This window comes from Homo sapiens, chromosome 13 (assembly GCF_000001405.40).
Source record: "Homo sapiens chromosome 13, GRCh38.p14 Primary Assembly".
Taxonomy (NCBI): domain Eukaryota; kingdom Metazoa; phylum Chordata; class Mammalia; order Primates; family Hominidae; genus Homo; species Homo sapiens.
The window spans coordinates 60,473,221-60,488,580 of record NC_000013.11 but is presented as its reverse complement, the minus strand read 5'-3'; the positions used below and the strand labels follow the sequence as shown (position 1 = coordinate 60,488,580).

General features: G+C 36.4%; 1 protein-coding gene across 14 annotated transcripts in view; it reads right to left on the bottom strand.

The window, feature by feature from the left end:
* The window catches only part of TDRD3 (tudor domain containing 3), a 178,347-nt gene that overhangs the window by 85,299 nt on the left and 77,688 nt on the right, over positions 1-15,360 (bottom strand). For all 14 annotated transcript variants that reach the window (XM_047430685.1, XM_024449417.2, XM_005266560.3 and 11 more), the window contains exons 6-7: positions 4,735-4,806; positions 2,633-2,782 (exon numbers count right to left, since the gene is read on the bottom strand). In XM_047430685.1, coding sequence (XP_047286641.1) covers positions 2,633-2,782; positions 4,735-4,806 — 222 coding nt within the window. The remainder of the gene's footprint in view (positions 1-2,632; positions 2,783-4,734; positions 4,807-15,360) is intronic.

The window sequence follows — 15,360 nt, the reverse complement described above, 5'->3', positions numbered from 1 at the left end:
AACAAAAAAACCCAAACAATCCAATTTAAAAATGGGCAAATGATTTGAATATCATTTTTCAAAAGACCATACAAATGGTCAACAGGTATATGAAAAAATGTCAACATCATTTACCATTGAAATCAGCCCAATAGTCCCATAGACAGTTTTTTTGTATAAACAGAAATTGACCCTTCTGATCTTAAAATCTGAAACTTTCATTTGATTTATCTTTATCTGAGTTCTTTCCTCAGGAAATGACACTCAGGCCTTTCAAAAAGTATCAAAGAACTAAAATTAACCAGATCACCACATCCAGACAATGAGATGCCACACCCCTCATTCATCAGAATTGCTTCCTTACCCCTCCTTAGTTCCTATTTTCCTGCACATAGATTTCTTCTCTGCTATATAAACCCCTAATTTTAGCCCATCAGGGAGATGGATTTGAGACTGACGACCCATCTCTTCAGCTGTAGCACCCAAATAAAGCCTTCTTTCCTGGCAACACTCATTGTCTCAGTGATTGGCTTACTGTGCAGTGAGCAGCAGGATCTAGACTGGGTGTCTCAGTAACATCATCAGGGAAATGCAAATCAAAACAAAATGAGATATTATCTCATTTCAACCCAGTTAAAACTGCTATAATCAAAAAGACAAAAAAATAACAAATACTGGTGAGGATGTGAAGAAAGAAGAACTCTTATGTACTGTTGGTGGGAATGTAAATTAGTGCAGCCATTACAGAAAACAATATGGAGGTTGCTCAAAAAAACTAAAAATAGAACTAGCATATGATTGAGCAATCCCACTACTGGGTATTTATCCAAAGGAAAGGAAAGCAGTGGGTCAAAGAGATATCTCCCATATTTACTGCAGCACTAGTCACAATAGCCAAGTTATGAAATCAACCTAAGTGCCCACCATCAGATGAAGGGATAAAGAAAACGTGGTATACAGTCATCCTTTGGTATCCGTGAGGGATTGGTTCTAGGACTCCCACCACTCTCCCACTCCCAGCAGATTTCAAAAACATGCTCAAGTCGCTTACATAAAATGATATAGCATTTGCATACAACCTATGCACATCCTCTTGCATACTTTTTTTTTTAATTTTTATTTTTTGAGATGGAGTTTCACTCTTATTGCCCAGGCTGGAGCGCAATGGTGCAATCTTGGCTCACTGCAACCTCCGCCTTCCGAGTTCAAGTGATTCTCTTGCCTCTGCCTCTTGAGTAGCTGGGATTACAGGCATGCACCAGCATACCCAGCTAATTTTATAATTTTAGTGGAGACAGGGTTTTGCTAGGTTGGTCAGGCTCAGGTGATACACCTGCCTCAGCCTCCCACAGTGCTGGGGTTACAGGCATGAGCCACTGCACCTGGCCATTCTTGTATATTTAAATCATCTCTAGATTACTTATAATTCCTTATATGGTATAAATGTTATATAAATAGCTGCTATACCATATCATTAGGAAATAATCACAAGACAAAAAAAAAGTTTGTACACATTTAGTACAGATGCAACCATCCTTCCCCGCCCCCACCAAAATATTTTTGATCCACTGTTGGTTGAATCCATAGTTAGGAAGAGTTGAATCCACAAATATGGAGAGCTGACTGTCTACACATAATGGATTATTATTCAGTTATATAAAAGAAAGAAATCCTGCCATTCTCAGCAACATGGATAAGCCTGAAGGACATTACATTAAGTGACATAATCCAACCACAGAAAGACAAATACTGCATATTCTCTCTCATATGTGAGAGATAAAAAAGTTGTCTCATAGAAGAGCAGCATAGTAATTACTAGAGGCTGGGAAGGGTGAACGTTAAGGGACAGTGGGAGAGGTTGATTAATGGGAATTAAATTACAGTTAGGAGGAATAAGTTCTAGTGTTCAATAAAACACTAGGGTGATTATAATTAACAATAATTTATTGTATATTTCAAAATAGCTAGATGAGAGTTTTGAATGTTCTCAACACAAAGATGGTAAATGTTTGAGGTGACAGATATAATTACCCTGATTTCATCATTACATATTGTATACACGTATCAAAATATCACATGTACCTCATATATATGTGTAATTATTTGTCAGTTAAAAAGGAGGATTTGTGTGTGTGTAAATAGACATATAATGTAAAGATAAAATTATTTTTTACTATACACTAAATAAAATAAAGTATAAAGACAAAAATGTTAATCCTGACACAGTGACAGATCCGCTGATTTTTATTCATCTCTCAGAAGCTGCTATTTCTCATAAGTTGCTATTAATAAGGGGAAATTATCCCCAAAAAAGTGGCAACTAGCCCAACTACTAATAGGAAACTCCCTGCCAGAATAAAAAGTGTGTTCAGTTACTACATTGTATAAAAAAAAGGAAGGAGAAAAGGAGGGTAATTTGCCAGCAAGAGTAACTTACTGGAACTACCATGGAGATCTGGAAAAAGAACACATGAATAAAATATGTAAGATCCCATGAAGTGGCAGGGCATTCCCAGTTATGGAATATGCAAGAAGAATAAGGTTAAGCGTTTGTTGAATTAGTTAGCTTATATGAAAAGACAATAACGATCACAAATAATCTAAATAGAACATAATGATAAGAAATAAAACGTGTAATGATTTGATTTCTTACTTCCTTGCTCTTTGCAACTTCAGCAATAGCAGCCGTCCTTTGCTTTTCAAATTCATCATTATCATTTGTAGGTTTGACAGGCATTGTAACTTGCAATGTTTTTCTTCGATCAAGTTCTCTGCTATCCACTTGGACATGAGATACACACTTCTAGTAAAACAAGTAAGAATAAGTCAACTTAGTAGTTCCAAAAGAGATTCAAGTTTTCGTTAGAAAGTAATACTTCTTCAAAAGTATCTTGTATCTTTTACAATAGCTAAAAGCCTACACAAATAAAATTCTATCCCATATATTTAAAAGTAAAAGTAGAAAACTGGAAAAGTAACTTTTCAATAAACGTAACTAGTAAATAAAATTAAAAGCTATATAAATATGTGGCTATCTAAACAGGGCACATATTTAAAACATACACTGGATCAAGAGAGCCTTCATTTTAGGGTAATAAATAATTTTAGATTTCAAACAATCTTGACTAATGCACAATAAGACATAAATTTGGTTTTGTAATTAAGAGCTTAATTTCCATATTATACCACAATATACATATGTGGATTGGTTAGTACAATTATATTAACATATAAAAAGATGTCTCTGCACTTATAAACCACACTCTAAAAACATACCCACCCCCCGTATCAGGCTTCAAAGTTTTTATATTTTTGTCTCATAAAGTAAAAAAAAAGGCATCACTGCCTAAAAAGAAGCCCTCAATTCTGATCTCCAGTCCAATCTTACCAGTAAAAATAGTATAAAATGAACTTTTTCTCAACTCATTAATAAAAAGGAAAATGGGAAGATCTCAAAGAAATGTGTTCCACAAATACAGAAAAATTTCAGTAATATAAACATATCATATTGACACCAATAAATACACAGTCAGCATTACCTATCTTCAGCCCATGTACAAGGCTGCAAGATGCTATACAAGAATTTTTTCAGAATGAACTTTATAACCAAATAATATTATTGAAATTATAGCTTTTATTATATTCTCTAACCCCTAAGAAGCTATAAAACACACTTCAAAGTCTTAAGAATAATTAGATCATAAGTCTCTGGAAGAGAAATATTATCACCAAAATGTTTAAGGGTAAATTTTTACAAATATACTATTATTTTCAAATATAAGTTATTAGAATGTTTACACTGTTTTCCCTGTGGAGGTTTTCATTACACTGGGAGAATACCAACCATCAACATGGATCACACCATAGGACTTCACACTTTCTTTTATCTTGGCTATTTCTTCTTCCAAACTCAGTAAAAAAAAAAAATCAACATTATTTTTTAAATGCTTCAAAATAGGTTTGATGCAAAAATGACTTATTTAAGTGAGAGTATATCTTACAAAAGGCTTTCAGAGAGGGTGACAGTCAAATGATTTTACTAAATACCAAAATTTGGACACACACACACACGATAAACCTTATTATGGAAACACAGATCTGTTGCCTACCTGTTATGTCCACAACTCATTGCTACTCTTAGCCCAGCACTCTTGAATAAAATTAAAGAGCAAATGCAAGACAGATTACCAACCGCTAAATTTTGATGGCATCATCAGGAGAAGAGCAAGCTGCCACAAGAATTATTCTTAGAATTGTCAGGGATAAAGCAAGAGCAGGCTGGAGAAGATTGTTGAGAATCAATTTGATGCTGAAGACAAGTGAAGTCACAAGATACTGGTCAGAAGGGGGGCTGCTTCAAAGTAGCACTTTGATCACTCTGTGTGGCTTTATTTTTCTCTCCCCCTCTAATGTTTTTAATGAACAAGTGAGAAATTATGATGTATTTTTGTCTTCTTACTTTTGAATTTCCCTCAAAAAAAAACCCTCTCCCATCCTATTTTAATTAGTTATAAGTTACTCTTCAGATATGGCTCTTAATTGCTTCAATCTTTGGGTTAACAGCTCTCGCAAACGTCAACAATATAACTACAGTGAAGGAAAAAAACCTCAAAATTATTAAATTCCTTGAACTTCATATTTCCAAATAACTCCATAACCTCTTAATAGTTCAGCACATAATGAAACACAGCTTGAATGCTAATGAAAAACACTTTTTCCTAATTTAAATTCATCTGCCAACACAAAAGTCATTACCTGTCCAAAAGGCACAAAAGGCGGTGGTCCACCTTCAGTTCCAATATTGCTTCTATTGTGTTTTGATAAGCTCTGCGGAAAAAATCCAGTCACAAAAGAGCAGTTATACATAAAAAATATATTTCCAGCATTTATAATGTAACAGGAATCTACCTATTTGAGTAGATTCTTATAAGAAATAGGAAAAAAAAAGGCCTTCCATGAAGTATTTCAAACCACAAAAAAATATATTATTCTTAACTTCAATAATTAGGCAAAGACTCTCCTCACCTCCCCTTACCAAAACACATATTCACATAAAGCTTTCAGAAATATTTATCAGGCCATTCCCCTAAGGAGAAAACAGTCTTCTTAAGAAGCAAATTCAAAAATATCAAACTTTGGTAACAGAATTCCATTTTAAAGCATAAAGCTATGACAGACAAATATTACCTGGAAATTATCTTCAAAAATAAATTTTTTAGACACCAAATTTATTAGTTAACATAAGGGTGATTTCTAATTACTTAAAGAGAACAGATTGTTATAGTGTATAATATGGAGGTTCTTTTAATTATACTAAAATTTCCTTAACCTTCCTTATACTAAATTTTCCTGTTTTGTTTTGCAAAACAATTCATATTTTGAAAAAGTATTCAACAAATTGTTCATTAACTAAAAATAAGCTTCCAAATCCAACTAATTTTAGTTTTCTTTTTTCCTGAAATCTCATAAAGCTAGAGAGATAACAATGTATTATGAAAACGGAAAGAAAATCTTCTGGCAAAAGCAATTTCTCACATGATAAAGTCTTTCTAAAATCCCATAAGGAGTCTCCAGGACTCTCTTCAGTTATCTCTTCCTCTGATTTATTTTGGTTTTGAGGTATTAATATATACATACATTTGTCTTACTAGTTGTTACTTAATACATCTCAACTTTAAACTTTTTGTGCATTTTAATTGTTATCACTACAGAAACCATTATGATTAAAATATGTAAAATAGGTGACAAAGTTAAAAAAAAAAAACAACCACCATGTGCACTTTCAAGCATATTCCAGAGTTCCTGAATTGTGTAAACACTGTATATTTTATAAAGATAATTAAGAGTAACGACAGTCAAGCACAACATTCAGTTTATTGAGCAAAGAATAATTTAAAGTGTATATGAGTGCCACGTTTCTTTAAAACCTATATTTAAGATATTAATCTAATTTTTCACAACAACAAATGCATAAAATTATCAAGAGGCCCTTTCCTTAATTTAAACATTAAACAAAGACTATTCAAACAGCTATAAATCATTTCAACTTATACTATCATTTCCTTGAAAAGTTCATGAATTGCAAATAATACCATAGCTCAATAACATTACATAATTAAAAGCATATTACAGGACCTGATAAAGGCACATGAGCAATACTTACTCTCTCTTTAAAAACAACTAACAATCTTAACAATGTGTAAGAAACAACTGTTTTAAGACATAGGATAACAGATAATGCAAGACTATTATCCCTGAGAGAAAGAGAAAAAAAAACAGGTGAGCTATGGCTTTCTGCTTGTAGCCATGATGCAAACAGAGGTCATAGGGAGCTGAGTTTAGAATATCAGTCTCACAGTTCAAGCAGGCTGATGCAACTGGAAGTTGTGGGGCTGTTTCAGAAAGAAGAACCTGTCATAATAAAGAAGCTCCAGAAACCCTCAAAGGAGTTCCCTTGAGTCACTGCTGAGAACAAGGCTGAGCAAAAAACAACTGAGAGTTGTAAGCTGAACAATTCCCAGAACTCATAAAGGGTATACAGACAATCCAGCCAGATCAGACCATGCAGACTAAAAACTCTTTGGACATTCATTCAGGACAGGGAGTAGAAATCCAGAGAGCTAAAAAATATTTGGAACAAAGGCTATGCTAGATACTCCTTTCAAAGCTTGAATACACATCTTGAAGGGGTCAAACTGATCAAAAGTAAATTAACTGTTGACCAAAGCTAATTCTTATACTCATTAAAGGAAAATAGCAAAATCCAGGCTCTCAACAACTACCAACATCACAATGTCCAGCATCTAAGCAAAAACTACAAGGCATGTCAAGACAGAAAAATGTGACCATAACCATCTGAAAATTTAGTCAAGAGAAACTGGGCCATAGATGACAAAGATGATGAACTAATAAATAGGGCGTTAAACAGCTATTAAAACTATGTGTAAGTATTTAAAAGAAAACATAAATTCAACTAGTAAAGAAAAATACAAAAAAAAGAAGAACCAAATGGAACTTCTATAAAAGAAAAAAACCACCAACAATGAAAACTCATTGGATGGGCTTAAGAGTAAATAAAATAAGACAGAAGAAAAGATCAGTGAATTTAAAGGTATAGTAATAGAATCTACCAAAAAGAGGCCAAAGGAAAAGCCTAGGGTAAAAAAATGAATAGATCTTCAGTGACTGGTTGGAAAATTACCAGCAGTCTAATGTATGTGTAATTGAAGATATAATACAAAAAAAAAAAAAACACAAAGAGGGAAGAGAAAAAATACATATGAAGAAATAATGGCCAAATCACATTTTCTAGATGTGATGAAAACAATAAACTCATAGATCAAAAAAGTTCACTGAAAACCAAACAGGATAAAACGCACACCAACCATGTTAGGTACATCATAATTAAACAATTGAATTGTTGAAATCAGTGATAAAGAAAACACTCCTCTAAGAGTCCCTGCCTGGCCATGCCTGCAAGCAGTGCAGCCCCCACTGCCCCACCAGAGCACTTTTGCTGACAGCCTCCTGCCAGAATTTGTTTGCCTGTGACCTCGCTGCCACCCCTTCAGAAAACTTCCCACCTGCTGAATCCCTGCCACCCTATTAGAATGCCCCCCTCCTGTGGTGCCCCTCACCAGAGCTATCCACCCAAGACAACCCAACTACCAATACCAGAGGGCTTCCCACCAGAGTGCACCCCCATCCCATATGGCTCCCTGCCTGCAGTGCCCCAGCTGTTACCAAAGGAGCATTTCCTGCATGTGGCCCCCTCGCTTGCAGCACTCCCCATCATGCTGGCTATAATACCCCCTGCCTGTGGGGCCCTCCTCACTGGAGCACTCCCACTTGCAGCACCCCACACCCATGGCATTCCCCTGTGAAAACACCCCCAACCTGAGGTAAATTATAATTTAGAAAATGAACAAAACCTCTAAGAAATATGGGGTTATGTAAAGAGACCAAACATACAACTCTGACATTCCAGAAAGAGAAGAAGAGAGAACAAGCAACTTGGAAAACATATTTGAAGACAGAATCCACAGAACTTTTCCAAATCTCACTAGACAGGTCAACATGCAAACTGAAGAAATTCAAAGAACCTCTGTGACATACTATGCAAGATGACTATTCCCAAGACACATAGTCATCAGATTCTCCAAGGTCAATGCAAAAGAAAAAAATCATACAGGCAGCTAGAGAAAAGGGGCCTTACAAAAAGAATCCCACTCAGCTAACAGCACACCTTTCAGCTTAAACCTCACAAGCCAAAAGAGAGTGGGGCCTATTTTCAATATCCTTAAAGAAAAGAAATTCCAACCAAGAATTTCATATCCTACCAAACTAAGCTTCATAAGCAAAGGAAAAATGAAGTCCTTTTCAGACATGCAAATGCTAAGGGGATTTATTACCACCAGACCTGCCTTACAAGAGCTCCTAAAGGGAGTGCTAAACATGGAAATGAAGAAATGATACCTGTCATCACAAAGCACACTTAAACACATATTCCAGTGACACTATAAACTATGCAATCATGTCTACATAACAACCACCTAGCAATATGATGACAAAATCAAACCCTAACATATCAATATTGACCCTGAATGTAAACTGGTTAAATGACACACTTAAAAGGAATACGATGGCAAGTTGGATAAAGAAGCAAGACTCAACTGTTTGCTGTCTCCAAGGGACCCATCTCACAAGTAATGATACCCAGAGGCTCAAGGTAAAGGGATGGAGAAACATCTTTCAGGCAAACAGAAAACAAAAAAGAGCAGGGGTCACTATTCTTCTGTCAACTAAAACAGACTTTAAACCAACAACAATTAAGAAGCACAAGGAAAGAAATGACATACATAATAATAAAGAATTCAACTCAATAAGAAGACTTAGCTATCCTAAATATGTATATACCCAACACTGGAGCACCCAGATTTATAAAATAAGTTCTTCTTTACCTATGAAAAGACTTAGACAAACACAATAATAGTGAGAGATTTCAACATACCACTGAAAGCATTAGACAAATCATCAATGCAGAAACATAACACAAAAATTCTGGACTGAAACTCAACACCCAATCAATTGGACCTAATAAACATATGCAGAATCCTCTGCCCAACAACCACAGAATATACATTCTTCTCATCTGCACACAGAACATAGTCTAAGATTGACCAAATGCTTGGCCACAGAGCAAGTCTCCATTAATTCAAAATAATCAAAATCATACCAAGCACACATTTGGACCACAGTGCATTAAAAATAGAAATCAACAGCAAGATCTCTCAAAACCATGCAATTACATGTAAATTTTAAAACTTACTCCTGAATAACTTCTGGGTGAACAATGAAATCAAGGCAGAAATCAAAAAATTATCTGAAATTAATGAAAAAAGAGACATAAATCTTTGAGATGCTGCTAAAGCAGTGATAAGAGGAAAGCTTTTAGTGTTAACCACCTACATCAAGAAGTTAGAAGGTTCTCAAATTGGCTGGGTGTGGTGGCTCATGCCTCTAATCCCAGCTCTTTGAGAGGCCAAGGCAGTCAGATCACTTGAGGTCAGGAGTTCAAGACCAGCCCGGCCAAGATGGTGACACCCTGTCTACTAAAAATACAAAAAAAAAATCAGCTAGGCATGGTGGTGTGTGCCTGTAGTTCCAGCTACTTAGGAGACTGAGGCAGGAGAATTGCTTGAACCCCAGAAGCAGAGGTTGCAGTGAGCCAAGATTGCACCACAGCACTCTGGCCTGGATGACACAGTGAGACTCCATCTCAAAAAAAAAAAAAAAAAAAAGTCCTCAAATTAACAATCTAATGTTGCACCTAGAAGAACAAGAATAAAAAGAACAAACTAACCCTGAAGCTAGCAGAAGAAAAGAAATAACTAAAATCAGAGAACTAAGTGAAAATGAGATGCCAAAATCCAAATAAAAGATCAATGGAACAAAAAGATGGTTCTTTGAAAGAATAAACTAAGATTGACAGACTGTGGACCGGGCACGGTAGCTCATGCCTGTAATCCCAGCACTTTGGGAGGACAAGGTGGGCAGATCACTTCTGGTCAGGAGTTTGAGACCACCCTGGCCAACATTCTGAAACCCCATCTCTACTAAAAATGCCAAAATTAGCCACATGTGGTGGCACGGGCTTGCAACCCCAGCTACTTGGGAGGCTGAGGCACAAGAATTGCTTGAACTCTGGAGTTGAAGGCTGCAGTGAGCCGAGATTGCATCACTGCACTACTCCAGCCTGGGAGACACAGTGAGACTCTGTCTCAAAAAAAAAAAAAAAAAAAAAAAAAAAATTGGTAGACTGCTAGCTAGATTAACAAAAAAGAGAGAAGATCCAAATCGGTACAATCAGAAATCACAAATATGGTATTACAACCAATCCCACAGAAATACAAAAGATCCTCAGAAACTATGAACATCTCTATGCACACAGACTAGAAAATCTAGAGGAAATGCATACATTCCTAGAAGCAATCTCCAAAGACTGAATGAACCAGGAAGGGAGTGAAAACCTGACCAGACCAATAACAAGTTTTGAAATTGAATAATTAATAAAAAAAAATCTCTTAACCAAAAAAATCCTAGACCAGATACATTCACAGCCAAATTCTTTAAGACATACAAAGAAGAACTGATACCAATCCTACCGAAACTGTTCCATAAATATCAAGAAGGAGGAAATTCTCCCTACTTCTTTGCACAAAGCCAGCATCATCCTGATGTCAAAATCTGGCAAAGATGCAACAACAACAAAAAACTTCAGGCCAGTATTCCTGATGCACGTAGATGAGAAGATCTTCAATAAAATACTAGCAAACTAATCCAGCAGCACATCAAAAAGTTAATTCAATATAATCAACTGGTCTTTATCCCTGGGATGCAATGTTGGTTCAACATATGCAAATCAATACATGTGATTCACCACATAAACAGAATTAACAACAAAAACTACATAATCATCTTAATAGATGCAGAAAAGGCCTTCAATAAAATTCAACATTCCTTCATATTAAAAACTCTCAACAAACTAGACATATAAGGAACATATCTCAAAATAATAAGAGCCATCGAGCTGGGCACAGTGACTCAAGGCTGTAATCACAGCACTTTGGGAGGCCAAACAAGGAGGATTGCTTGAGGCTAGGAGTTTGAGACCAGCTTGGGCAACAAAGAAAGACCTCATCTCTATAAAAAATTTAAAAATTAGCCAGACTTGGTGGTGTGCACCTGTAGTGTCAGCTACTCAGGAGACTGAGGCAGGAGGATCCCTTGAACCCAGGAGTTCAAGGTTGTATTGAACTATGATTCTGCCATTGTGCTTCAGCCTGTGTGACAGAGCAAGATTCTGTCTTAATAATAATAATAATAACAATAATAATAATAATAACCATCTATAACAAACGTATAGCCAACATCATACTCAACAGGCAAAAGCTGAAGCATTCTCCTTGATAATTGAAACAAGACAAGGATGCCCACTTTCACTACTTCTATTCAACATAGTACTAGAAGTCTTTGCCAGAGGAATTATGCAAGAGAAAGAAATATATGACATCCAAATAAAAAAAAAAGTCAAACTATCTCTCTTTGCTGATGATATCATTCTATATCTAGAAAACCCCACAGACTCCACCAGAAGGCTTCTAGAGCCGATAAACAAATTCAGTAAAGTTTCAGCATACAAAATCAATGTATAAAAATCAGTTGCATTTCTGTATGCCAATAGCACCCAGACTCAAATCAAGAATGCAAACCCATTTACAATGGCCATAAAAAGAATAAAATACCTAGGAATACAGCTTAACAAAGAGGCGAAAGATCTCTACAATGAGAATTACAAAACATTGCTCAAAGAAATCAGAGACAACACAAAAAAATGGAAACGTTCCATGCCCACAGATATTGGCAAGAACCAATATCATTAAAATGGTCACACTATCCAAAGCCATTTAGAGATTCAACACTATTCCTATCAAACTATCAATGTTATTCTTCACAGAATTAGAAAAAAAAACTATTCTAAAATTCATATGGAACCAAAAATGAGCCCATATCACCAATACAATCCTAAGCAAAAAGAACAAAGCTGTCCAACTTCAAACTATACTACAAGGCTACAATAACCAAAACAGAATGGTATTGGTACAAAAATATAACAATGAGTACTGGGTACAAAAACAGACTCACGGACCAATGGAACAGGATAAAGAACCTAGAAATAAAGTGATACAACTACAAACGCCTGATCTTTGACACAGCTGACAATAACAAACAATGAGGAAAGGAATTCCTATTCAATAAATGATGCTGGGATAACTGGCTAGCCAATATGCAGAAGATTGAAACTGGACCCCTTCCAGTCATCATACGCAAACATTAACTCAAGAAGAATTAAAGACTTTAATGTAACATCTAAAACAATAAAAACCCTAGAAGAAACCCTAGGAAATACCCTTCTTGAGACTAGCCTTGGCAAAGAATTTACAACCAAGTCCTCAAGAGCAACTGTAACAAAAAACAAAAATAAGAAGTGGGACCCAATTAAACTAAAGAGCTTCTGCACAGCAAAGGAAACTATAAACAGGGTACACAGAAAACCTACAGAATGGGAAAACATATTTGTCAACTGTACATCCAACAAAGGTCTACTATCCCGAATCTATAAGGAATTTAAACAAATCAGCAAGCAAAAAACAACCTCATTAAAGAATAGGCAAAGGACATGAACGAACATTTCTCAAAAGAAGACATACAAATGGCCAACAAACATATGAAAAAAATGCTCATTATCACTAATCATTAGAGAAATGTAAATCAAAACCACAATGTGATACCATCTCATAACAGAATGGCTATTATTAAAAAGTCAAAAAACAACCAATGCTGGCAAGGTTGCCAAGAAAGGAAAATACACATACACAGTTGCTGGGAATGTAAACTAGTCCAGCCACTGTGGAAAACAGTTCGGAGATTCCTCAAAGAACTAAGAGTTCAACTACTATTACTGCACATAAGACACATGCACTTGTTTGTTCATTGCAGCACTCTTCACAACAGCAAAGACATGGAATCAGTGAAGAGGTCCATCGACACAGAACTGGATAAAGAAAATGTGGTAGATATACATGATAGAATACTACACAGCCATAAATAAGAATGAAATAATGTCCTTTGCAGCAATATGGATGCATCTGGAGGCCATCATTCTAAGCAAACTAAGGCAGGAACAGAAAACCAAATACCATATGTTCTCACTTATAAGTGGGAGCTAAATAAACACTGAGTACACATGGACACAGAGATGGGAACAAGAGACACTGGGGACTGCTTAAGGGAGAAGGGTGGGAGGAGGAAATAAGTTGGAAGGCTACCTATAGGGTACTATGCTCACTACATGGGTGATGGGATCTTTGATACACCAAGCCTCAGTGACACACAATTTACCCATGTTAAGAAGCCTGCACATGCACCTCCTTAACCTAAAATAAAAATAGGAAGAAAAAAAAAAGGAAAAGACTTAAAAGTAGATAAAGAAAAGATACATTACATAAAAAAAGATTACTACAGACTGTAGATAGTATACCAGGTAATTGACAATGAGATGATGTCCTTAAAACACTTAAGAAAAATTTAAAAAATCTTTCAATGTAGAAACATACATTCAGAGAAAATATCCTTAAAAAGTAAAGAAAAAAAAAACATTCTGACAAACCAAAACTAAAACACTTCATCATCAGCTAACCTGAACTAAAAGACACACCATGCAGGAACTTGATCTTTACCAAAGAAAAGAGAGAGGGACGGAAATGGTAAATGTGTAGAAAGACAAAAATATCTTTTAAAAATTGTTTCATTGTTTTAAAAACCATTTAAGGGAAAAAAATTAAAACGTGTTGTGACCTTCGTAACGAATGTAAAGTATATAACAAAACCAGCATAGAGACAAAACTGGGTACATGAAAGCATATAATTGTATGGGTCTTACAATACGCATAAAGTGGTATGTATTATTGAAGGTAGAAAGAAAGAAGTCAAGGGTACACATCTTAAACCTTACAGCAACCACTTAAAAACAAAAACACAGTCATATAGTATAGGGCCCAGCCCTACAAGGTCTGTGGGTTTTTTCTCCTCGTGTGTGGAGATGAGAGTATGTAGAAATAAAGACACAACACAAAGAGACAGAAGAAAGGACAGCTGGGCCCGGGGGGGGCCACTACCACCAAGGCGCGGAGACCGGTAGTGACCCCGAATGCCTAGCTATGCTGTTATTTATTGGATACAAGACAAGGGGGCAGGGTAAGGAGTGTGAGCCATCTACAATGATAGGTAAGGTCATGCGAGTCACGTGTCCACCAGAGGGGCCCTTCCCTGTTTGGCAGCCAAGGCGGAGAGAGAGAGAGGACAGCTTACGCCATTATTTCTTCTATGCATTTCAAAGACTTTTAGTACTTTCACTAATTCTGCTACTGCTATCTAAAAGGTGGAGCCAGGTGTACAGGGTGGAACATGAAAGCGGATCAGGAGCGTGACCACTGAAGTACAGCATCACAGGGAGACAGTCAGGCCTCTGGATGGCTGAGGACAAGCCTGCCATCAGTCAGGCCTTTCACAAGAGGTGGTGGAGCAGAGTCTTCTCTAACTCCCCCAGGGAAAGGGAGACTCCCTTTCCTGGTCTGTTAAGTAACGGGTGCCTTCCCCAGGTACTGACGCTACCGCTAGGCCAAGGTCCACTAGGTAATCGGCACCTTCCCAGGCGAGGGCGTTACTGCTAGCCCAGGGAGCCCTCTAGTGGCCTTGTCCGCTAGACCAGGGAGCCCTCTAGTGGCCCTGTCCGGGCATAACAGAGGGCTCACACTCTTGTCTTCTGGTCACTTCTCACCATGTCCCTTCAGCTCCTATCTCTGTATGGCCTGGTTTTTCCTAGGTTATAATTATAAAACAAAAATTATTATAATATTGGAATAAAGAGTAATACTACAAACTAATAATTAATGATATTCACATATAATCATATCTATAATCTATTTCTAGTATAACTATTCTTATTCTATATGTTTTATTATGCTGGAACAGTTTGTGCCCTCGGTCTCTTGCCTTGGCACCTGGGTGGCTTGCCGCCCACAATATAGCTGATAAGCTAATAATGCAGATAACAGAATCATTTAAAAAATGCAATTCATTTAAAAGGAAGTGCTATGATTTGACTGTCTCTCCAAAACTTATATTGAAATGTAATTGCCATTGTAACAGTGTTAAGAGGTAGGACCTTCAAGGGGTGATAAGATTATGAATATTTTTCCCTCATGAATAGATTAATGCTGTTATCACAGGAATGGGTTAGTTATCTTGGGAGTGGGATCC